The sequence below is a fragment of the Homo sapiens genome, chromosome 6, assembly GCF_000001405.40.
Source record: "Homo sapiens chromosome 6, GRCh38.p14 Primary Assembly".
In the NCBI taxonomy this organism is placed as follows: domain Eukaryota; kingdom Metazoa; phylum Chordata; class Mammalia; order Primates; family Hominidae; genus Homo; species Homo sapiens.
This window is the reverse complement of record NC_000006.12, coordinates 160,486,194-160,511,330: the sequence shown is the minus strand read 5'-3', so window position 1 is coordinate 160,511,330 and position 25,137 is coordinate 160,486,194. Positions and strand designations below refer to the sequence as shown.

The following is a 25,137-nucleotide window of genomic DNA, read 5'->3' as shown; positions in this document are numbered from 1 at the left end:
CTTACAGTATGTTATGGGTTGGTGCTCCCCTACCTACAGATTCTTTTAAAAAACTGTCCCTACAACTTACTGAACTGGAATGTCAGCTCAGTGGAGTCCTTCTTCTCTGGCCACTCTTAGGGGACTGAGGGATGGTTGGATTCAGAAAAGGGCTTCTAAAAATTCAGGTAATGTTTGAACTCTGCTGAGCCAGTGGCATGGGTCTCTGAGAGAATCATTAACTTAATTTGACTATCTGGTTTGTGGATGCGTTTACTCTCATGTAAGTCAACAACATCCTGGGATTGGGACACACTTTCTGGGCACTGCTGGCCAGTCCCAAAATGGAACATAAGGAAGTGGTTCTTCTACTTCTGTTATTTCTGAAATCAGGTAAGACATAGTTTTTTTTGTGTAATAATTATTTTTTCTCCCACAATGTAGTAAAAATACATATGCCATATCTTTATGTGCAATTCATTTAATTTAATTTTTGATTCATAAAATCGCCAGTTCAAAATCTTGTATAAGATTGAGGAATTCTTAAAAAACTAAGTTTAATTTCCACATGAAGACTGTCAGGGTGCTGGAATGAATGGGCATAATGGGTGGTGTTTCTAATCTAAAAGAGTGTGCCTACATCATGGCCAGTCTAGTTGAAAGAAAAAAATAGGCAATGTAGCTAACTACGCAAAGGATGGTCAAGCTCTTCACCTGGTTCTCAGTTTCATTAATTTATATCATCTCTGTTCAGGTGCCATGCTCCCCTCACTTTCAAGTTGAAACAATGAAATATCTCTTTGAATATATTCTGCTCCTTGACCCATTCATGGAGTGGGACTCAGCATTTCTCTCCTTGTTATGGCCTGAATAAGGCTTTCCATAGGTATACGTTTGCTTCTTATCCCTGGAGAAATTACACACATCCATTTGCCAGATGCTGTATGCAGATAGTGACTCAGCAAATACTCACTCAGTGCTTGGGTTAGGTCCTCACATTTGTATACGTACATACATATCTGTGTGTACATGTCAGTGTGAGTGTGATTTCTTTACAGACAGTAGCTTATTGAGCTCATGGTGTAGATAGCATAGCATATTCATCCCAATTTTATAAACAAGGAAATCTAGACTTAGGAAAATGATGTTATTTGCCCAGAGACCAAATTCCCAAATCAAGGAAATAAAGGAACCAGGATTTAAGCCAGATTTCCAAGAAAAAAAATCTAGGGCTCTTCTCACTTTTTCAACTTTGTTCTAACCTTTGAAAAACTAATCTAAACACATCCCAGTGTAACGGAAGAGCAGGTTAGTTATTTGCCACTTGCAGAATCTAATTAAGAAGAGAGAAGTCTGGTGTAAAGAAAGTGATGTACTTCCAACGCTAGCTTAGGGGAAGAAATACAAGAGTCCTGTTTTACCACTTCACTTTTGGAGCAGAAAGTGGTACTTTTAAAAGGCAGGGGAGGAAGCAAGCAATGGTTCAGGGGTCCATGCTAGCTTTGGCACCTTATCCACCAGCTGGTGCCTGCTGGTGCCCTTGTGAACAGGATGTTGTCGCTTGAGACAAGTCTCTGGAGGGTGAGAGTTTTGTAGTGGACATTCTTTGGTTTATAAATCAACTGTGAACTCAGGAGTTCCATCTTGAAGCACATAGTTAGATGACTTGCCCTGTAGGGAGATTCAGATGAAGGGGAGGTAAAAAGCCATATTTGCAATTCTAAAGGGCCAAGTATAAAGTGGGGAGCTGGGGAGACAAAAAACACACAAAAAATTAAACCATCTCTTAGAAAAATGGGGGTCCTTGGTCTCACTAATAGGTTTTTCTTAAACAGCTTTATTGAGGTCTAATTCATCCATTTACGGCATGCAAGCCAATGGATGTAAATATATTCAGAGTTGTGCAGCCATCATCACAATAAATGTTAAAATATTTTCATACACCAAAAAGGGACTCCACTCTCCTTAGCTGTTGCCCTGCGTCTGCAGCTTCTGGCAACCACAAATGTATTTTTCTGCTTTTATAGATTTGCCTATTTTGGACACTTCATATAAATGGAACCATACGTTTTCATGGTAGTTCTTCATATAAGCAATGTGTAGATGCTTTCAATTTAATATATAAATTACCAGATAAAATTTTACAAATTGACTTTAGAGTAAAATACATTTGAACTTAGTGGAAGCCATTCAACAAAGTATCAAAGAAAATACAAAGCAGGAGAAGATTAAGCAAAGAGGTTTTGGGGGGAAATTGGTGTCTACGTGTGTGTGTGTGTGTGTGTGTGTGTGTAGATGGGGGCAGGGGGATGAGTATTATATTTCAGCCCATGAAAACTGGGACATAGATCACTATGAACTTACTCAGTGGGCTACACCCAAAGGCTAAATCAAACTTCTCTGCCATAGGATTAACATACGTTTTAACCAACCTGGGGGGCACATTCTCTTATAAGCTCTTTTGGAGAGGAATGCTTTCTGTAGATGTGTCATCTTTCCAGTGTACTTCAGTGCCCGAGGAGAGCAAGTTTATTTTACAGCCATACTCAGTGAGAAGTGGAGAATCATCTTCCATTTCACAAATTACTATTTCTTTTACATATGCAAATATGCATACACATTCACATACCACAGTGAGGAAGAAATTCTCACACCATTAATAAAATCCAGTTACTTCACTAGCAATATACAACTACATTTGCCTATAAAAGTATTTTTTCTATTAAAAGATGTGTTTAATGTTTCTTCACCAGCAAATAAACCCTATTAAAACCCCTTGCCATATGAGGTGAATCAAAGAAACAAAAGCCTTGGGGAAAAATTATCAAATTAAAAAGACAAAAAATTGATTCTGTTTTGGGATATTTCCTAGCGACATGAGCTGGAGAGGGGATCTCAGCAGTGATGCGCTATGAAGCATAATAACACGACACAGTTATGGGTTAACTTGGTTAAAGGGGAAAATAAATGGAAGTTTCCTCTTTTTTTTTTTTTTTTTTTTTTGAGACGGAGTCTTGCTCTGTCGCCCAGGCTGGAGGGCAGTGGCGCCATCTCGGCTCACTGCAAGCTCCGCCTCCCGGGTTCACGCCATTCTCCTGCCTCAGCCTCCCGAGTAGCTGGGACTACAGGCGCCCGCTACCACGCCCGGCTAATTTTTTGTATTTTTAATAGAGACGGGGTTTCACCGTGTTAGCCAGGATGGTCTCGATCTCCTGACCTCGTGATCCGCCCGCCTCGGCCTCCCAAAGTGCTGGGATTACAGGCGTGAGCCACCGCGCCCGGCCAGGAAGTTTCCTCTTTTTGAATATCAATTGTAGTCTGCTCTCCTACATTTCAAAAACACTCTTCAGAAAGTTTAACATAACTCACTGTAGGAAACAGTTTATGAATTTATTATGTGTTTTGAAGTCACACTGTGAGCTATAGAATTTACCCAAGCACAACTCTTCCCGGAAAAGGGAGTTCAAATAAGAAGACAGTGCAGGGTGAAGACATGGATATTAGCTTAAAGTATCTATTTCTCTATGATCTTCTGATACATCTCTCAAGTGCTTTTTGGTGTATTAGCTTTAGAATTGCATCAGCCAACTACTGGTCAATAATCCATTTTTCCAGCTTGGAGCATCTTAAATTGAGAAAGGACAAAGTCACAGAGGTGGAGAGCAGGTAAACTTTGGCCGAGGACTTTGCATGAATCAATGAGAGTGCGTCCTCCTCCCTGTCCTGCCCTCATGCTCTGTGTACTCTCAGGAGGTCAGGACAGGTCTTTCTGAGAATGAGAATCCGTTCATCTGCCTTTCTACTGATACTTGTCATCAGCATACAAACACACGCTCTCTGCAGTGTGTCATCTTTCAGAACCTCCCCTGACCCCATATTCCCTGGAGGACTTGCTGCCTTCAGAGCCAGGCTTGTCTTCTGCTGCCACTCTACTAGTCATTCTTTAATCCACTCCATCTGCCTGTGGCCCCCACCTCACCCCTCAAAGAGAATTGACTTGTCTTCCTGGGTTTCATTAGCTGTACTCATTGTTACTTTCTTCCTTACCACTGTGTATCTCAAACTCTTGAGATTAAAGTGCAGGCTCAGGAGGGAGCGAGGAGCTTCAGGACTCTCACGGACCTCCAGCACAGTATAGCTGCCTTACGGAAAAGTGGGCACACTGTTTTCTGCACTGGTGCCTGCCCCGGCTACTCCTCAATGGGCAGAGCACAACCACCCTGGCCCTGCCTGAACACTTTAGTCAGTGTGTTCAGGCAGGGGAGCACAGGAAGGCACTGTGCTTCTCTGGGGAGGAAATCCCAGAGGCAACCCACAGCCCCTCTGCCATTTCAGCTGCAGCAATACCGCCCTTACTGCCCTTGGGCTGCAGAAGGAACAAAGTGACCTGGTCACTTCCCTGATGCCTCCAGCACACAGCAGGGGTTATATGGAAAGAATTCCAGTCTCTCTTCCCTGTGAGCTCCCACCTGTTACTCTTCACCAGGCAGGTTTCCTGGCTTGGGCACACAGTACAGGCACCTCATACTCAGCTGAACATTTCCATTGGCAGCTCTCTGTGTTTCTGTGGGATGGAGCTCCCAGAGGCGACTGAAAGCCCATCTGCCACTGCCACTGCAGTGGTACTGCCCTTGCTGTCTGTGGACTGGGGAAGAAACAAAGATCCTGAGTGCTTTATTCACACACCAGCAGGCCCCAGCCACCCTATGGAAAAAAAGTTTAGTGTGTCTTCCCTGCAAGCACCCTGACGCCCCTGCCCCTGCTTCTCCCAAGCTATGGAGCCAAAACAAAGCTGAGCTTGCCCCAGGGCTGCGGTACACGGCCAAAGAATGCTAAGCTGAGATCTGCAACTGGAACTCAAGTGGGAGAGAAGCAATTGTGAGGAAATACAGAGGAGCCATGTGGCTGAAGAAGAGCCTACCTGTTAGTTTGCAAAATCAAAATCTTCAAAATCCAAAATACTTTGCTAATATACCACCCCGTAAAACCATGGACAAGAATTCAACCACAAATAAAGACCTTGTACACCACCTTGGCCCTCTGAAAACATCCAGAAATGAAGTCAACTTATATCATAGTTAAAGGAACATCAGGTCACACAAATGAGAAAGAAGCAGCGCAAGAATTCTGGCAACTCTGCAAGCCAAACTGTCTCCTTATCTCCAAATGACCACACTAGCTCTCCAGCAATGGCTCCTAACCAGAAGGAAATGACTGAAATGACAGACATGGAATTCAGAATCTGGGTGGCAACAAAGAGCATTGAGATTCAGGAGAAAATTGAAACCTCTTTCAAGTAATCTAAGGAATGAAGTAAAATGATTCAAGAGATGAAAGACAAGCCATTTGAAGAAAGAACCAACCCTCTCTTGTAGAGCTAAAAAAAACCTCACTATTGAATGTCATAGCACAATCAGAAATATTAGTATAATAAAAGTAGTTAAGGAAAGAATCTCAGACCTTGAATACTGTTTCTTCAAATTAACATAATCAGACAAAAATAAAGAAAAAGAATTTTAAAAAATGAACAAAGCCTCTGAGAAATATGGGATTATGTAAAGAGACCAAATCTATGACTCATTGGTGTCCCTGAAAGGGAGAGAGAGCAAGCAATGAGGAAAACATATTTGAGGATATTGTCCATGAAAATTTACCCAGTCTAACTAGAGAGGTCGACACACAAACTCAGGAAATTCAGAGAACCTCAATGAGGTAGTATAAAGAACAACCATCCTTAAGATACATATTTGAGTATATTACTATTGTTTATGTGATGATTAATACGGATTGTCAACTTGATTGGATTGAAGGATGCAAAATATTGATCCTGGGTGTGTCTGTGAGGTTGTTGCCAAAGGAGATTAACATTTAGTAAGTGGGCTGGGAAGGCAGACCCACCCTTAATCTGGGTGGGCACCATCTAATCAGTTGGCAGCGTGGCCAGAATACAAAGCAGACAGAAAAATGTAAAAAGGCTAGACTGGCCTAGCTTCCCAGCCTACGTCTTTCTCTTGTGCTGGATGCTTTCTACCCTTGAACATCGGACTCCAAGTTCTTCAGCTTTGGGACTCAGAATGGCTTCCTTGCTTCTCAGGTTGCAGATGGCCTATTATGGGACCATGTAATCTTGTGAGTTGATACTACTTAATAAGGTCCCCTTTGTGTGTGTGTGTGTGTGTGTGTGTGTGTGTGTGTGTGTGTGTGTGTGTGTATCCTATTAGTTTTATCCCTCTAGAGAACCCTGAGTAATATAGATTTTGGAACCAGGAGTGGTTCTGGAGGAACAGAATATTAAGGATGGAGTTCTTTCATTGGTTTTGAGATTTCTGGATATGACTGCTTAATATGATTAGACCCAAAAATGCAAAGCACTCTACTTCTAATAGTATGGAGAACACTGATAGTCCTTGGCATGAACTGTTTAAAGAGTTAGGCAAAATAAATGCATTTGACACTCCTGATTCACCACTCATGAGGGAAGGAGTTTAGTGACTCTATGCATAATACCTTTGACTATATGTGGAGAACCAAGGAGCATAATGAAGTTGGTTGGTCCTAAGTTCACTGGAGAAAGTGATGAAAGAAAATGATAAACTCAGGGATTCTGTCTCCTGGCTTCAGAAGCAGATACTGAGCCACACATCTGCTAAGATTGCCCTGAGTGAGAGTCTTAACTCCTGTAGAGAAAGAGTTGAAATTGTAGTAAAACAGATGCAAGCTCTTATTATGCGAGTAGCTAACCTGCAATGAAAGGTGCATGCCCAGCCCTGCCAGGTGTCTACTGTTAAAGTGAGGGCATTGAATAGAAAAGAATGGAACCCTGTAACTTGGAATGGGGACATGTGAGAGGACCCTGATGAAACTGAGGACACTGAATTTATGAACTTTGATTAACCTTTTTTTGCGAAAAGAAACAGCTTCCCCATCCTCAGTACTGGCAACATCCCCTCCCTGACCCATGCTGCCATTAGCCTTTCCACCTTTGTCTGAGGATGTGAACCCTGCGCTGCTTGAGGCAACAGTGACGGCCTCCCGTGAGGCAGTTGCCAGGCAAGATAATGTTGATTCTCCTTAGGAGGCATCTCCAATGCCCTTGTTTGCTTCTAGACCTACAACTAGACTAAAGTCCTGTTGGGCCCAAGAGGTGAGGTTCAGAGTGTGACCCATGAGGAGATGCATTACACTCTAAAAGAATTGCTTGAGTTTTCTAATTTATATAAGCAGAAATATGGAGAACAGGCATGGGAATGGATATTAAGGGTCTGGGATAATGGTGGAAGTAACATAGAGTTGGATCAGGCTGAATTTATTAATGTGGGCCTACTAAGTAGGGATTCTGCATTTAATGTTGCAGCTTGGGGACTTAAAAAAGGTTCTAATAGTTTATTTGCTTGATTACCCGAAATATAGATTAAAAGATGGCCTGCTGTGAGTGAGCTGGAAATGCCTGATCTCCCTTAGTTTAATGTAGAGGAAGGGGTCCAAAGGCTTAGGGAGATTAGGATGGTGGTGTTGGATTAGTCACTTTAGACCTACTCATCCCAGCTGGGAGGGTCCAGAATATATACCCTTGACCAATGCTTTGTGAAATAGTTTTGTGAGGGTAGCACCTGCATTTTTCAAGAGCCCTGTAATTGCTCTTCTCTGTATGTCAGATCTAACAGTGGGAACCACAGTCACTCAACTACAAAATTTAAATACAATGGGAATAATTGGATCCTGAGGGCCAGGGACCAAGTGGCAACACTGACCCATCAGAGGAATGCTGGGTATAGCTACCATAATGCACAGCAGAGGCAAAGCAACAATCAGAATAGTCTGACTCGTGTAGAGCTCTGGCACTGGCTAATTAATCACGATGTTCCTAGAAGTGAAATTGATAGAAAGCCTACTGCATTCCTACTTAATTTATATAAACAGAAAACTACCAGGTAGAATGGACAAAAGACTAATCTGAATTATTAAGACACAGAATCATGGCCCCTCAATTAATTTCCAGACTCGAGCCAGTTTACAGACCCAGAAGCCCTTGAATAAAGGGGAGGCTGGGTCCCCTTAAGGAAGCACCCTACTAAGCTACCAACAATTTATGGTGTTTATCTTTCTCCCATCCTTCCCAAGGACACCTCTGGCCTTTTACCAGGGTAACTGTGCACTGGGGACAGGGAAATAATCAGACGTTTTGGAAACTACTGAAAACTGGCTCTGAGCTGATGTTGATCCCAGAAAACACAAAACATCATTGTGGTCCTCCAGTTAAAGTAGGGGCATATGGAGGTCAGGTAATTAATGGCATTTTAGTTCATGTCTGACTTACACTGGGTCCAGTTAGTACCTGGACTTATCCTGTGGTCATTTCCCCAGTGCCAAACTGCCTAATTGGCATAGACATACTTAGCAGCTGGCAGAAACCCCACATTGGCTCCCTTACTGGTAGGGTGAGGGCTGTTATGGATGGGAAAGGCCAAATTGAAGCCATTAGAGTTGCCTCTACCTAGAAAAATAGTAAATCAAAAACAATATTATATCCTTGGAGGGATTGCAGAGATTGACATCACCGTCAAGAACTTGAAAGATGAGGGGGTGGTGATTCTACCACATCCCTGTTCAACTCCCCCATTTGGCCTGTGCAGAGGACAGATGGATCTTGGAGAATGACAGTGGGTTATTGTAAGCTTAACCTAGTGGTGACTCCAATTGCAGCTGCTCTACCAGATGTGCTTTCATTGCTTGAGCAAATTAACACATGTTCTTGTACCTAATATGCGGCCATTGACTTGGCAAATGCCTTTTTCTCCATTCCTGTCCATAAGGCCCATCAGAAGCAATTGACCTTCAGCTGACAAGGCCAATAATATACCTTTACTGTCCTACCTCAAGGGTATAACAACTCTCCAGCTTTGTGTCATAATCTTATTCGAGAGACCTTAATCACTTTTCACTTCTGCAAGATATCACACTGGTCCATTATATTGATGATATTATGCTGATTGGATCCAGTGAGCAAGAAGTAGTAAACACATTGTACTTACTGGTGAGACATTTGATGCCAGAGGATAGGAAATAAATCTGACTAAAATTTAGGGACCTTCTACCTCAGTAAAATTTCTAGCGGTTCAGAGGTGTAAGGCCTATGGAGCTATTCCTTCTAAGGTGAAGCATAAGTTGCTGAATTTGAACCCTCCTACAACCAAGAAAGAGGTACAATGCCTAGTGGGCCTACTTGGATTTTGGAGGCAACACCTTCCTCATTTGGGTCTGTTACTCTGGCCCATTTATTTAGTGACCTGAAAGGCTGCCAGTTTTGAGTGAAGTCGAGAACAAGAGAAGGCTCTGCAACAGAATCAGGCTGCTGTGCAAGCTGCTCTGCCACTTGGGCCATATGACCCAGCAGATCCAGTGGTGCTTGACATGTTAGTGGCAGATAGGGATGCTGTTTGGAGCCCAAAATTCCTAATGAAACATGCTGTCAGATGGATGACTTTTTCCAAGCCAGTAAGCTTCTCCAAGATATCATAAAGTAGAGAGCATCCAGTGCAATCTTTAGCATTGCAGATTCTGAGAAACATGACTCTCAAGCCTATAAATCTCGAGAAAGCTAACAAGGTTGGAATAATTCCATAATGCCCTGTGTCTATGGAGCGGTACATGAGCTCCCAATGCTCTATATTTCAGGCCTTCCTCAGTCCTAGGCAGGTTCTGCACCCCTAGGCTTTGAAGACAGTGATTTCTCAGGGTTCTTGCACCTCGTTCTGATGAAACTTTTACCTGTGGGGTGTCTGGAGAGAAAGAGTAGGAGACTTCTGCTTTATTGCAATGCAGGATGTGGGGCACAAGAAAGTTACATCTCTCCTCCAATGGGATAAGCTTTTGGCCTCCACCCACCACTAAGAAGCATAGTGTTTTTGCCTGCAGTAGTAGATGCAGAACCATTTTCTGCCCAATCGCCAAGAAGCTGAAGGCCTTGGCTCTTGTGATCAATGGTCTAGGGAAACATGCAAGGTTTCCATGTCTGTCCCCACCTCTGCCCTCGACACCCAGTCACCACCTACAGCCTGCACCACCAAATACATTGCCCTTTGTTCTCTCATGCCCCATGGTCGCCATGAACATTCAGTAGAGATCCCTAAAGACCAGTTTGCATGTGAGTGCAGTTTCCCATGAGAATCACTCTGATCTGTTGTTTTTCTCTAAACTTTTAGGTGAAATATTTCTAAGAACTTACTACACTTCTAGAATGGTAGGAATCTGTTGTTTTGGTGTTTGTTTCTCATTTCCATTTGCCTACAAATAAAGAAATGAGAACGGTCATAATTTTCAGAGACTCCTTTCTGTTTTCTGTTATAAATGGCTTTACCTGTTTCACTGTTCTAAGAAATACTCAGCTTAATTTTTTCTGTTTTGATTTCAGCACCGACTGAGACAGGGCCTTCTGTGCAGGAGTGCTACCACAGTAATGGACAGAGTTATCGAGGCACATACTTCACCACTGTCACAGGAAGAACCTGCCAAGCTTGGTCATCTATGACGCCACACCAGCACAGTAGAACCCCAGAAAAGTACCCAAATGAGTATGTATTTGTTCTTTACCATAAGAGAAGGAAGGGCCAACTGAAGTTTCTGTTAGAAGAGTCATGCTTCAAGCTGACTGCTCAGGACTCAACTTGTGTCAGATGCAGAGGGCGTAGCAAAATGTCTCAGGAACATTGCCTTGGAGCAAAGGGTCTGAGAGAAGAGAAATGTTAAGCTGCCTCTCCTTCCTCCTAGCTTGATAGAGCAGGAGCATATCTGGAGGTGAGGAGATCACATTAAGAAAAATATCAGGACCACAAATGACCAAACACTTAGCGTACCCTTCCACAACACACACTAAGGGTCACTGCAGCCTTTCCACCTTTGAACTCTAGCATTCTGACCTCCGATTCTTGAAGTGAAGGTTGCGTTGTTCTTTTCTATCTTGGCTCACAAGGATAGCATATGTGCAATTCTGTGGAGAGGCAAAGCTCTCTCTTTCTGTATCTACATCTATTCCAATGGGTAGAAGCACACTCAGTCCTGAGCACCAGTGATCTAAAAGATACGGTTTGCCAGGAAGAAAAGAGCAAAGGCAGGAAGGCAGATGAGAGTCAGCAAACAGACAGATGCTGAAAAGTAAAAGGGGCAGATAGATGGACAGAAGCCCAGGTCTGACCACCCCATTGCCAGTTTCTCTGCCATAAGTGGCTACCAAAGACATAGAAAAATGGTTTCCACATGTTGGACAACAGACGGTAGAGGACCGAGAGAGTTGCGAGAGGGGGAACAATGAGATCAACTCCGTAGATGCCCTTCTTGGCTTTCTTCTTGGAGACCCTTCCCTAAGAGTGGAGAGATGGAGCCCAAATGGACTGTAGCCATGTTCCTTAATGAAGGAGAGGGATTGGAGTTTGGGATTACTCAGGTAGGCTGATCTAGGCCAGCTAAGAATGAGAATGGATTTGTGGAGGAAAGGAGCTGTAGGAATACGTATAGAATCTCCTCAAGTCATTGGCTAAACATAAAGCTGCTTGTGCACAGAAAAAGGTTTCACAAGAGAGTAGGGCAAAGGATATCTCCTGAGGAACAGCAACTACAAGGGAACAGTGAGCTCAATAAAGATGAAAGAGCTCACATAGCACTGCTGGAGACTGGAGTTCTGACCAGCCAAAGGAGAGAGACCTCACTGAACAACTTGGGCATTCAGTAGAGACCCCAGAAAAGCCAGACTTTAGACATAAAATTAGTATATTCCTATAATAAAGGCAGCTCCAGACAAACCCTAGCAAAGCTGAAAAGCAAGTTTCCAAGCATCAAAATGGTGTCCAAGTCAATTAACTGCCTGCCAGAGGAAAACTCAACCTTCTTTAGAGGTAAACAACAAAATCAAGTGGCTCAACTATGCAATATCCGCAGTGTGAGTCCAAAATTTAAAATCTACCTACACATAGAAAATCACTTAGTGTGATCCATGACCAGGAGAAACATCAGTCAATACAAATAGGCCCAGGTGACAGAAATGATAAAAGTGGCATAAAAATTGGACATATCAGTATGATAACTGAGTTCTAGGATTTAAGAAAACATGGATATGGAACTATCAGATGTAATATCAAGAGGAAGTAACAGTATAAAAGAGCCAAATTAAATTAAAAATCTAGTAAAAGGTATGTCTTAAATAAAAAAAAAAATCACTGGATTGCCTCCTCATCCAGTTAGAAGTTTCAGAAAAAAAATTAACTGAAAAAAAAATCCATAGAAGCTAAAGAAGCAGCTACATGCACACACACACACACACACACACACACTCACACATGCACAACCTTACAAACACACACACACATCCACAAATGCGGTAAAATTGAATCAACCAAGCCTCACAGACATGAAGGAAAACATGCAAAGATTTTCTTCATGTGGGAAGCAAGTCACAGAAGTAGAGGAATGAGAAACTGGAACAGAAATAAATACCTGAAGCAAAAGTGGCTTAAAACCTTCCAAATATAATGAACATTTAAAAATTACAGGTACAAGAAGCTCAATATGTCAGAAAGAGAATTTTCAAAAAGAAAATTCTATGATGCACTTTGATACATTACAGTTCGACTATCAAGACAACGACATAGTATCATAAAAATCTCAGAGAAACCAGAGGAAAAAGTGCTGTGTCTTTCTAGAGGAACAGTGATACAAATGGCTAATGTGTTCTCATCAGAAATATGGCAAGCCACATACAAAGGAATATCATCAAAATGATAAACAGGAAAAAAAAAAAGAGATCAACTGAGAATGCTACATCCAGCCATAAAATGCCTTCAATATCATCAATGTTGTATAAATGCGTATTTTGCAATTCCCCAAACAAGAAAACCAAAAACTATAAAAATTTGGAATCAGGACACTTACGTAACAAAAAGTGTGACCGATAGGAAAATAGGTAGAAGAATAGTACAAGAGGGGAACTTTCTGCATCCCAGGTAATGAAGAAGCCAGCAAATGGCAAATGTAGATGTAAATGCAAAATATTTTCTTGTTCAAATTTCTTTATTGCCTTAAATAAGAGTTGACAACTTGAAGTAAAATGTCAGCAATATATATTATTTTAGCATATGTAGAAGTAAAAACTTGAAAACATAGCATAAATCATGTAGGGAATAAAAGAATTATATCATTGTAAGTTTCTTGTCTTATCAATGATGGTAACAAATATTAATAAAAAGTTGTTTGGGTTCATGGGATATTGCAAATTCTAGAGTAATCACAAAATTTTGAATGCTAAAGTATTTTCTATAACAAGAATATTCCATGTATTGAAAAGAGGACAGCCAAAGAAGAAAAAGAAGTCTTTCAACTGCTCTGGTCTGAGCACCTCCAAATGCTCAGAGAACCAGGTTCTTGGAATGGAGGGTCTGGGGTTGAGACTAGGTCACATGTGTAGAGTCTCTAGAGAGACAGTGTTGGATCCCCATGGCGCATAATACATTTCCCATTTTCACAAACAGCCACAGGTCGTGAATGTTGAGAATTCTGAGAGGTTGGAGCAATGTTTCTGGGAGTCATAAGGGGGAGCGAATGCTCCAAGATACACCAAACACGGAATTCTCACCTGCTTTGCCTTTTACTACATTGTTTGCTGACTCCTCCGTAGCTGCCCGACCTCTTCAGATCTCATAGTTCATTCAACCATCTCCCTTTACGCCTTGGGTCCCACTGTTCTTTCAACTCATCCCCCATGCCCTCAGTCCCAGAGTGGCTGCTGCCACTAGAGAATGGAGTGAGAGCAGGAGACGAGGTCGTGTCCAGGGACCCATCCTAGAGATACTGCATCCTGCCTGAGAACCAGTTTTCTAGGGCAGCTTTGATAAGTCTTGCAGAAAGAAATATTCTAGACCCACCTGATACAGTGTCTACAGACAGTAATACTATTTTCACGATGGTTTTCCATGGCTAACACTGAGGCTTTTTACTACACTTTGAGTACATAGAGTTGGAAGGCTGGCCTGGAAATGATATCGTCCTGGATGGCATTTTTTCTTTGGAGAACTCTATGTTAGTTCCACTTTGCACAATACTTTATAAAGTCCTATAGAGAGAGATCAAGAGGGCTAGACGGATGAAAATACTCTTGTATGTGCATAAGCAATTCCACAATACACACATCAAAATCCATACCAGGTATTCCAGAGAGATGGATTGGCCAAAGGCTAAAGGAGGGTATTCGGATCCCTCCTAGCCCTCATGTATGTATTATTTCTTTGCTTCTAAGAAACATTTGCTACTTAGGTCTTAAAAAAAAAACAGTTAAAATCTATTAGATATTACAAATGTGCAGAGAGGATGAGAATTTGAGAGCCATTCATGCTTGTAGCAATTGTATGGTACCTTTAATGGGAATATTTCAAAGGCACTGGTTATGACTTTGTTACAGCAAAATTGAGAGGGTGCTGGGTGCTGGGTGCCCTGCATATCATCCCACCTGAGAAGGAAGGGCTGACTGAAGTTTCTGTTAGAAGAGACGTGCTTCTAGCTAAGTGCTCAGGAATCAAATTGTGTCAGATGTAGAGGGCATAGCAAAATGTCTCAGGAATATTGCCTTGAAGCAAAGGGTCTCAGAGATAAGAAATGTTAATCTGGCTCTCCTTCCTCATAGCTTTATGCATCAGGAGGCTATCTGAAGGCGAGGTGATCACATTACGAAAACTGTCAGGACCACAAATGACCAAACACTTAGAGTGTTTTCTACAACACACAGTAAGAGTCAATGCAGCCTTTCCACCTTGGAATTCTATCATTCTAACCTCTGATTCCCGAAGTAAAAGTTGTGTTGGCCTTTTCTGTCTTGGCTCACGAGGAAGGAGTATGTGCATATCTATGGAGAGTCGAATCTCTTTCTATTTCTACATCTATTCCAATGGGTAGAAACACACTCGATCCCAAGCATCAATGGTCTGAAAAGATATGAGGTGCCAGAAAGAAAAGGGCAAAGGCAGGAAGGCTGATGAGAGACAGCAAAGAGACAGATGCTGAAAAATAAAAGGGGTGGGTACATGGACAGAAGCCGGGTCTGACCAACTCATGGCCAGTCTCTCTGCTCTAAATAGCTACAAAAGACCTGGAAAAACGGTTTCCACACGTTAAACAACAGATGGTAGAGGACTGAGAGAATTGCGAGAAGGAGAACAATGAGATCAACTCCACAGATGCCCTCCCTGGCTTTCTTCTTGGATGCCGTTCCTGCACTGAAGAGCAGGGAGACGGAATCCATGCAGACTGTATCCATCTTGCTGAATGGAGGAGAGACTGGAGTTTGGCATTATTCAGGCAGCTAGGATTTTCTAGGACAGCTAAGAATGAGAACGGATTTGTGGGACAAAGGAGCTCTAGGAATACATTTAGAAGTCTCGTCAAGTCATTGGCTAAACATAAAGCTCCTTGTGCACAGAAAAATGTTCCACAAGAGACTAGGGCACAGGACATCTACTGAGGAACAGCAACTACAAGACAACAGTGAGCTCAATAAAGCTGACATAGCACTGGGGCGGTTGGAGTTCTGACCAGCTAGAGGAGAGTGATCACACTGAACATCTTGGGCATTCAGTAGAGACCCCAGAAAAGCCAGACTTTAGGAGTAGAATTAGCATATTCCTGGAATTAAGGCAGCTCCAGAGAAACCTAGCAAAGCTGAAAAGCAAGTGTCCAAGCATCGAAATGGTGTCCAAGTCAAGTTACTGCCTGCTAGAGAAAAACTCAACCTTCTTTACAGGTAAACAACAAAACCAAGTGGCTCAACTATGCAATATCAGTAGTGTGAGTCCTAAAACTAAAATCTGCCTACACACTGAAAATCATTTAGTGTGATCCATGACCAGGAGAAACATCAGTCAATATGAATAGGCCCAGGTGACAGAAATGATAAGAATGGCATAAATATTGGGCATATCAGTATGATAACTGAGTTCTAGGATTTAAAAAAACATGGATATGGAACCAAACAGATGTAATAGCAAGAGGAATTAACAGTATAAAAAAGTCAAATCAAAAATCTAGTGAAAAGGATGTGTTAAATAAAAAATTACTAAATGGCCTCCCTATCCTGTTAGAAGTTTAAGAAGAACAACTAACTGAAAAAAAAAATCCATAGAAGCTAAAGAAACAGCTACACACACACACTCTCACAGATACACAACTTATAAACAGACACACACACACACATCCACAAATACTGTAAAATGAAATCTACCAAGCCTCACAGACAGGGAGGAAAATATAAAAAGATTTCCTACATGTGGGAAAGAAGTCACAGAAATAGCGGAATAAGAGATTGGAACAGAAACAAATACTTGAAGCAAGGATGGCTGAAAACCTTCCAAAAATGAGGTACATAAAAAGATTACAGATTCAAGGAGCTCAATGGATCAGCAAGAGAATTTGCAAAAAGAAAACTCTGTGATGCACTTTGTTACCTCACAGCTTGTCTGTCAGAAGACAAAGATACAGTATCAAGAAAAATCCCATGAGAAACCAGAGGAAAAAGAGCTGTGTCTGCTAGAGGAACAGTGATGCAAATGACTAATGCGTTCTCATCAGAAACATGGCAAGCTGCGTACAAAGGGATATCTTAAAACAATACACAGGAAAAAGAAGAGATATACTGAGAATGCTACATCAAGCAAGAAAATACCTTGAATATCATCAATGTTGTGTAAATGCATCTTGTGCACTCCCGAAACAAGGAAACCAAAAACTATAAGAATTTGGAATCAGCAGGCTTATGCAACAAAAGACGTAACCCAATGGAAATTAGGTAGAAGAAGAATAGTATGAGAGGAGAACCTTCTGCATCCCACATAATAAAGAAGGCAGCAAATGGCACATAGATGTAAATGCAAAATATTTTCTTGATCAAATTTCTTAATTGACTTAAATGAGCATTAACTACTTGAAGCAAAATGACAGCAATATATTTTAGCACATTTGAAGTAAAAATTTGAAAATGTAGCATAAATCAGATAGGGAATAAAAGGAATTATACCACTGTAAGTTTCTTTCCTTATCTGTGATGGTAAAAAATATTAATAAAAGGTTGAAATATGTGCATTCAAAGAGACATTGCAAATTCTAGAGCAATCCCTAAATTTCGAAGGCTGAAATATATTCTATAACAAGAAGACTCCATGTATCCAAGAGGGAAGCCAAGGAAGAAAAAGAAGTCTTTCAACTACTCGGCTCTGAGCACATCCAAATGCTCTGAGAATCAGCTTCCTGGAATGGACATTCTGTGCTTGAGACTAGCTCACATGTGTAGATTTTCTAGAGAGAGTAGTTGGATCCCCATGGCCCATAATACATTTCTTGTCTTTACAGACAGCCTCACGTCGTGAATCTGAGAATTCTGAGAGGTTGGAGCAATGTTCCTGGGAGTCATAACAAAAGGCGAATGAATGCTCCAAGATACACCCAGCGCGAGATTCTTGGTTGCTTTGCCTCTTACGCCATTGTTTGCCAATGACTCTGTAGCTGCCAGACCTTTTCAGATCTCATAGTCTATTCAGCCATCTCCCATTATGCCTTGGGTCATACTGTTCTTTCAACTCATTCCCCATTCCCTCAGTCACCCTTAGAGTGGCTGCCATCAGTAGAGGATGGACTGAGAGCAGGAGATGAGGTCCTGTCCAGGGATGCATCCTAGAGGTACTGCATCATGTCTGGGAACTAGTTTTCTAGGGCAGCTTTTATAAGTCTTGAAGAAACAAACCTTTTCACTCACCTGATACAGCATCGAGAGACAGCAATACTGTTTGCACGATGGTTTTCCATGGGTAACATAGAGGCTTTTCACTACATTTTGAGTACATAGAGTTAGAAGGCTGGCCTGGGATTGATATCATCCTGGATGCCATTATTTCATTGAGGAACTCTATGTTAGTTCCACCTTTCGCAGTACTGTATGAAGTCCTGTAGAGACAGATAAAGAGAGCTAGACAGATGAAGGTACTCTTGTATGTGTATAAGTGATTCCACAATACACACGTCAAAATCTATACCATGTATTCCAGAGAGATGGATTGGCTAAAGATGGAAGGAGGATATTCTCATCCCTTCTAGGCCACATGTATGTATTATTTCAGTGTTTCTAAGAGGTATTTCCTACTTTAGGTCTTAAAAAAAAAAGTTAAAATCTATTACCTGTTAGAAATGTGCAGAGTGGATGAGAATTTGAGAGCCATTCATGCTTGTGGCAATCATATGGTACCTCTAATGGGAATATTTCAAAGGCACTGGTTATGACCTTGTTACAGCAAAATGGAGAGGGTGCTGGATGTTCCTGCATATTGTCCCACCTCTTGTAACGTGTATTGTTTTGTGATTTTCAGTGGCTTGATCTCGAACTACTGCAGGAATCCGGATTGTTCGGCAGGCCCTTGGTGTTATACGACGGATCCCAATGTCAGGTGGGAGTACTGCAACCTGACACGGTGCTCAGACGATGAAGGGACTGTGTTCGTGCCTCTGACTGTTATCCCAGTTCCAAGCCTAGAGGATTCATTCATACAAGGTAAGAAGTCTGTGGCCAGACATCTCCACGCTTAGACACTAAGAAGAAAAGCCATGGAAACTCCCACTGATGCAGAAGGCTTCATTCTACACAGGTGCTCCAATGTTGATTGAGGATCTGCCATTTTGGAGGAATCCTCAGTGCAGTGTCTGGGGGAGCCAGAGGAGTAATTTTTGGTGCAGCATGAGTGGGCTGTGTCTTTGGATAGGCACAAACCCTCCAGGGTGCTCGACATCACCACTCACTTCATTGTAAAATGAGTTATCTCAGTGTCCAGTCCAAAATTCCTGTTGTAACATGCTGTCAGATATGTGTCTCTTTCCAATGCAGTAAGCTTCTCCAGGGATTTCTTCAAGTAGACAACATTCAGTGCAATCTTCATCATCACAGATTCTCAGAAATGTGTGGCTTTCAAGCCCGTGAATCTTGAGAAACTTAACAGGGCTGCATTAATTCCATGTTGCCCTTGCATCATGGAGCATTACATGAGCTCCCAAGGCTCTATCTTTCAGGCCTTCCTCAGACCTGGGCAAGATTTGCAGGCCTAGGCTTTGAAGTGAGTGATTTCTCAGTGTTCCTGCACCTTTTTCTAATGGAAGTTGTACTTGTGGGGGGTCTGGAGAGAAAGAGTAGGAGACTTCTGCTTTATTGCAATGCAGGATGTGGGGCATGAGAAAATTCCATCTCTCTTCCAATGGGATAAGATTTTGGCCTCCACCCATCCTTATGAAGCAAACTATTTTTGCCTGCAGTCCTAGACGCACAACCGTTTTCTTCCCAATCTGCCAGAAGCCAGAAGCTGAAGGCCTTGGCTCTCGTGATCAATGGTCTAGGGAAACGTGCGAGGTTTCCATGTCTGTCCCCACCTCCGCCCTCAGCAGCCAATCACCATCTACAGTCTGCACTGCCAAATGCGTAGCCCTTTATTCTCTCATGCCCCGTGATCCCCATGAACATTCAGTAGAGATCACTAGAGAGCAGTTTGCACGTGAGCGCAGTTTTCCATAAGAAGCACTCTGAACTGTTGTTTTTCTCTAAGCTTTTACATGAAATATTGGGAAGAACTTACTGCATTTCTAGAATGGTAGGAATCTGTTCTTTTGGTGTTTGTTTGTTTTCTCATGTTCATCTGTGTACAAATAAAAAAAAGAGAATGGTCGTAATTCTCCAAGACTTCTTTCTGGTTTGTGTCATAAATGGCTTCAACTGTTTCCCTGTTCTAGGAGATACACAGCTTAATTTTTCCTGTTTTAATTTTAGCACCGACAGAGCCAAGGCCTTCTGTTCAGGAGTGCTACCATGGAAATGGACAGAGTTATCGAGGCACATATTTCACCACTGTCACAGGAAGAACCTGCCAAGCTTGGTCATCTATGACACCACACCAGCACAGTAGGACCCCGGAACAGTACCCAAATGCATACGTTTTGTTCTTTACCATAAGAGAAGGAAGGGCTGACTAAAGTTTCTGTTAGAAGAGTCATGCTTCTAGCTAAGTGCTCAGGACTCAACTTGTTTCAGATGTAGAGGTCATAGCAAAATGTCTCAGGAATATTGCCTTGAAGCAAAGGGTCTCAGAGATAGGATATGTTAATCTGGCTCTCCTTCCTCATAGCTTTATGCATCAGGAGGCTATCTGAAGGCGAGGTGATCACATTACGAAAACTGTCAGGACCACAAATAACCAAACACTTAAGAGTGTTTTCTACAACACACAGTAAGAGTCAATGCAGCCTTTCCACCTTGGAATTCTATCATTCTAACCTCTGATTCCTGAAGTAAAAGTTGTGTTGGCCCTTTCTGTCTTGGCTCACGAGGAAGGAGTATGTGCATATCTATGGAGAGTCAAAGCTTTCTATTTCTACGTCTATTCCAATAGGTAGAAACAAACTCGATCCCAAGCAGCAATGGTCTCAGATATGAGGTGCCAGAAAGAGAAGGGCAAAGGCAGGAAGGCTGATGAGAGACAGCAAAGAGACAGATGCTGAAAAATAAAAGGGGTGGGCAGATGGACAGAAGCCTGGGTCTGACCAACTCATGGCCAGTCTCTCTCCTCTAAGTGGCTACAAAGGACATGGAAAAATGGTTTCCACACGTAAAACAACAGATGGTAGAGGACTGAGAGAATTGTGACAAGGAGTACAATGAGATCAACTCCACAGATGCCCTCCTTGGCTTTCTTCTTGGGACCGTTCCTGCACGGAAGAGCAGGGAGACGGAACCCATGTGGACTGTATCCATCTTGCTGAATGGAGGAGAGATTGGAGTTTGGGATTTTCCGGTACCTAGGATTTTCTAGGCAAGCTAAGAATGAGAACGGATTTGTGGGGCAAAGGAGCTCTAGGAATACGTATAGAAATCTCTTCAAGTCATTGACTAAACATAAAGTTTTTTGTGCACAGAAAAATGTTCCACAAGAGACTAGGGCAAAGGACATCTACTGAGGAACAGCAACTACAAGGCAACAGTGAGCTCAATAAAGCTCACAGAGCTGAGATAGCACTGGGGGCGGTTGGAGTTCTGACCAGCCAGAGGAGAGTGACCACACTGAACATCTTGGGCATTCAGCAGAGACCCCAGAAAAGCCAGACTTTAGGAGTAGAATTAGTGTATTCCTAGAATTAAGGCAGCTATAGAGAAAACCTAGCAAGGCTGAAAGGCAGGTGTCCAAGCATCAAAATGGTGTCCAAGTCAAGTTACTGCCTGCTAGAGAAAAACTCAACCTTCTTTAGAGGTAAACAACAAAATCAAGTGGCTCAGCTGTGCGATATCAGCTGTGTGAGTCCTAAAATTAAAATCTGCCTACACATTGAAAATCATTTAGTGTGATCCATGACCCGGAGAAAAATCAGTCAATACAAATAGGCCGAGGTGACAGAAATGATAAGAATGGCATAAATATTGGGCATATCAGTATGATAGTTGAGTTCTAGGATTTAAAAAAACATGGATATGGAACCAAACAAATGTAATATCAAGAGGAAGTAACAGTAAAAAAAAGTCAAAACAAATTAAAAATCTAGTGAAATGTATGACTTAAATAAAAAATTCCTGAATGGCCTCCCTATCCAGTTAAAAGTTAAGAAGAAAAACTAACTGAAAACAAACCCATAGAAGCTGAAGAAACAGCTACACACACACACACACACAGATGCACAAGTTACAGACACACACACACACACACACATCCACAGATACTGTAAAATGAAATCAAGCCTCACAGACATGAAGGAAAATATAAAAGATTTCCTACATGTGGGAAAGAAGTCACAGAAATAGAGGAATGAGAGATTGGAACAGAAACAAATACTTGAAGCAAGGATGGCTGAAAACCTTCCAAAAATGAGGTGCATAAAAAGATTACAGATTCAAGGAGCTCAATGGATCAGCAAGAGAATTTTCAAAAAGAAAACTCTATGATGCACTTTGGTACATCACAGCTTGTCTGTCAGAAGACAAAGATACAGTATCAAGAAAAATCCCATGAGAAACTAGAGGAAAAAGAGCTGTGTCTGCTAGAGGAACAGTGATACAAATGACTAATGCGTTCTCATCAGAAACATGACAAGCTGCATACAAAGGAATATGGTCCAAACAATACACAGGAAAAAGAAGAGATATACTGAGAATGCTACATCAAGCAATAAAATACCTTGAATATCATAAATGTTGTATAAATGCATCTTGTGCACCCCCCCGAAACAAACCCAAAACTGTAAGAATTTGAAATCAGCAGGCTTATGTAACAAAAGATGTAACCCAAAGGAAATCAGGTAGAAGAAGAATAGTGCAAGAGGGGAACTTTCTGCATCCCACATAATAAAGAAGGCAGCAAATGGCAAATGTAGATGTAAATGCAAAATATTTTCTTGATCAAATTTCTTAATTGACTTAAATGAGCATTAACTACTTGAAGCAAAATGACAGCAATACATATTATTTTAGCATATTTGAAGTAAAAATTTGAAAACATGGCATAAATCAGATAGGAAATAAAAGGAATTATACCATTGTAAGTTTCTTGCCTTATCTATGATGGTTAAAAATATTAATAAAATGTTGAAGTATGTGGTTTCAGAGAGATATTGCAAATTCTAGAGCAATCCCTAAATTTTGAAGGCTGAAATATATTCTATAACAAGAAGACTCCTTGTATCCAAAAGAGGGAAGCCAAGGAAGAAAAAGAAGTCTTTCAACTGCTTGGCTCTGAGCACATCCAAATGCTCTGAGAATCAGCTTCCTGGAATGGACATTCTGTGCTTGAGACTAGCTCACATGTGTAGATTTTCTAGAGAGAGGTGTTGGATCCCCATGGCCCATAATACATTTCTCATCTTCACAGACAGCCACAGGTCATGAATGTAAGAATTCTGAGAGGTTGGAGCAATGTTCCTGGGAGTCATAACAAAAGGCAAATGCTCCAAGATACACCCAGTACGGGATTCTCAGTTGCTTTGCCTCTTAGCGCCATTGTTTGCTGACAACTCTGTAGCTGCCTGACCTTTTCAGATCTCATAGTCTATTCAGCCATCTCCCATTATGCCTTGAGTCATACTGTTCTTTCAACTCATTCCCCATTCCTTCAGTCCCAGAGTGGCTGCCACCAGTAGAGGATGGACTGAGAGCAGGAGATGAGGTCCTGTCCAGGGATGCATCCTAGAGGTACTGCATCATGTCTGGGAACTTGTTTTCTAGGGCAGCTTTTATAAGTCTTGAAGAAACAAACCTTTTCACTCACCTGATACGGCATCGAGAGACAGCAATACTATTTGCACGATGGTTTTCCATGGGTAACATAGAGGCTTTTCACTACATTTTGAGTACATAGAGTTAGAAGGCTGGCCTGGGATTGATATCATCCTGGATGCCATTATTTCGTTGAGGAACCCTATGTTAGTTCCACCTTGCACAATACTATATGAAGTCCTGTAGAGAGAGAGAAAGAGAGCTAGACAGATCGAGATAATCTTGTATGTGTATAAGTGATTCCACAATACACACATCAAAATCTGTACCGTTTATTCCAGAGAGATGGATTGGCCAAAGGTGGAAGGAGGATATTCTCATCCCTTCTAGGCCACATGTATGTATTATTTCAGTGTTTCTAAAAGGAATTTGCTACTTCAGGTCTTAAAAAAAAAACAGTTAAAATCTATTACCTATTAGAAATGTGCAGAGTGGATGAGAATTTGAGAGCCATTCATGCTTGTGGCAATCATATGGTACCCATAACGGGAATATTTCAAAGGCACTGGTTATGACCTTGTTACAGCAAAATGGAGAGGGTGCCGGATATTCTTGCATATTGTCCCACCTCTTGTTAACGTGTATTGTTTTGTGATTTTCAGTGGCTTGATCTCCAACTACTGCAGGAATCCGGATTGTTCGGCAGGCCCTTGGTGTTATACAACGGATCCCAAAGTCAGGTGGGAGTACTGCAACCTGACAGGATGCTCAGACAAGAATAGGGCTGTGGCCGCGCCTCTGACTATTATCCCGGTTCCAAGACGAGAGGATACTTCCAAACAAGGTAAGAAGTCTGTGGCCAGACATCAGCACACTTCGATGCTGCATAGAAAAGCCATGGAAACTCTTGCTAATGCAGAAGCCTTCCATGCTACACGAGTGCTTGAATTATGGCTGAAGATATGCCATGTTAAAGGAATCCTCAGTGCCGTGTCTGGGGGAGCCAGAGGAGTAATTTTTGGTGCAGCATGAGTGGGCTGTGTCTTTAGGATGGGCACAAACCCTCCAGGGTGCTCGACTTCACCACTCACCTTGTTGTAAAACGGGCTATCTCAGTGTCCAATCCAAAATTCCTATTGTAACATGCTGTCAGATGTGTGACTATTTCCAAGCCAGTAACTTCTCCAAGGATTTCCTCTAATAGACAGCATTCAATGCAATCTTCAGCATTGTAGATTCCAAGAAATGGGGCTCTCGAGCCTGTGAATCTTGAGAAACATAGAAGGGCTGCATTAATTACATATCACCCTAGGTCTGTAGAGCAGTACGTGAGCTCCCAGGCTCTAACTTTCAGACCTTCCTCAGTCCTGGGAATGCTCTGCAGCCCTCAGTTTGAAGGGAGTGATTTCTCAGTGTTCTTGCACTTACTTCTGATGAAATTTGTACCTGTGGGGGGTCTGGAGTGAAGGAGTAGTAGACTTCTGCTTTACTGCAATGCAGAATGTTCATCAGACTATGAATAAAGAAAAGAGAATGGACAGGAGGATTTTGTCTCTCCTCCAAGGGGATAAGCTTTTAGCCTTCTCCCATCCTTAATAAGTGAAGTGTTTTTGCCTGCAGTGCTAGACACAGAACCGTTTTCTGCCTGATCACCCAGAAGCGGAAGGGCTGGGCTCTGGTAATCAAGGGTCTAAGGAAACACACAAAGTTTCCATGTCTGTCCCCACCTCTGACCTCAACAGCCTATCGCCACCTAAAGCCTGCACTGCCAAATCCATCACACTTTGTACTCTCATGCCCCATTGTCTCCATGAACATTCAGTAGAGATCCCTAGAGATGAGCTTGCACGTGAGAGCAGTTTCCCATGAAAAGGACTCTGAACTGTTGTTTTTCTCTAAGC

At 42.0% G+C, this 25,137-nt stretch overlaps 1 pseudogene across 2 annotated transcripts in view, besides 1 other annotated feature; it reads left to right on the top strand.

The window, feature by feature from the left end:
- Window positions 1-206: 206 nt before the first annotated feature.
- The window catches only part of LPAL2 (lipoprotein(a) like 2 (pseudogene)), a 44,570-nt pseudogene continuing 19,639 nt past the window's right edge, over window positions 207-25,137 (top strand). For both annotated transcript variants that reach the window (NR_028093.1, NR_028092.1), the window contains exons 1-4: window positions 207-372; window positions 10,391-10,550; window positions 18,369-18,550; window positions 23,899-24,080. The product of NR_028093.1 is annotated as a lipoprotein(a) like 2 (pseudogene), transcript variant 2 (transcript). The remainder of the gene's footprint in view (window positions 373-10,390; window positions 10,551-18,368; window positions 18,551-23,898; window positions 24,081-25,137) is intronic.
- Window positions 23,832-25,031: an enhancer, noted in NCBI's record as "CDK7 strongly-dependent group 2 enhancer chr6:160907332-160908531 (GRCh37/hg19 assembly coordinates)". NCBI's record gives its function as "activates an origin of replication core promoter dependent on BRD2, BRD4, P300/CBP, MED14 and CDK7 cofactors, with strong dependence on CDK7, by STARR-seq in HCT116 cells {active_cell/tissue: HCT116}" and the evidence as "EXISTENCE:reporter gene assay evidence [ECO:0000049][PMID:35650434]".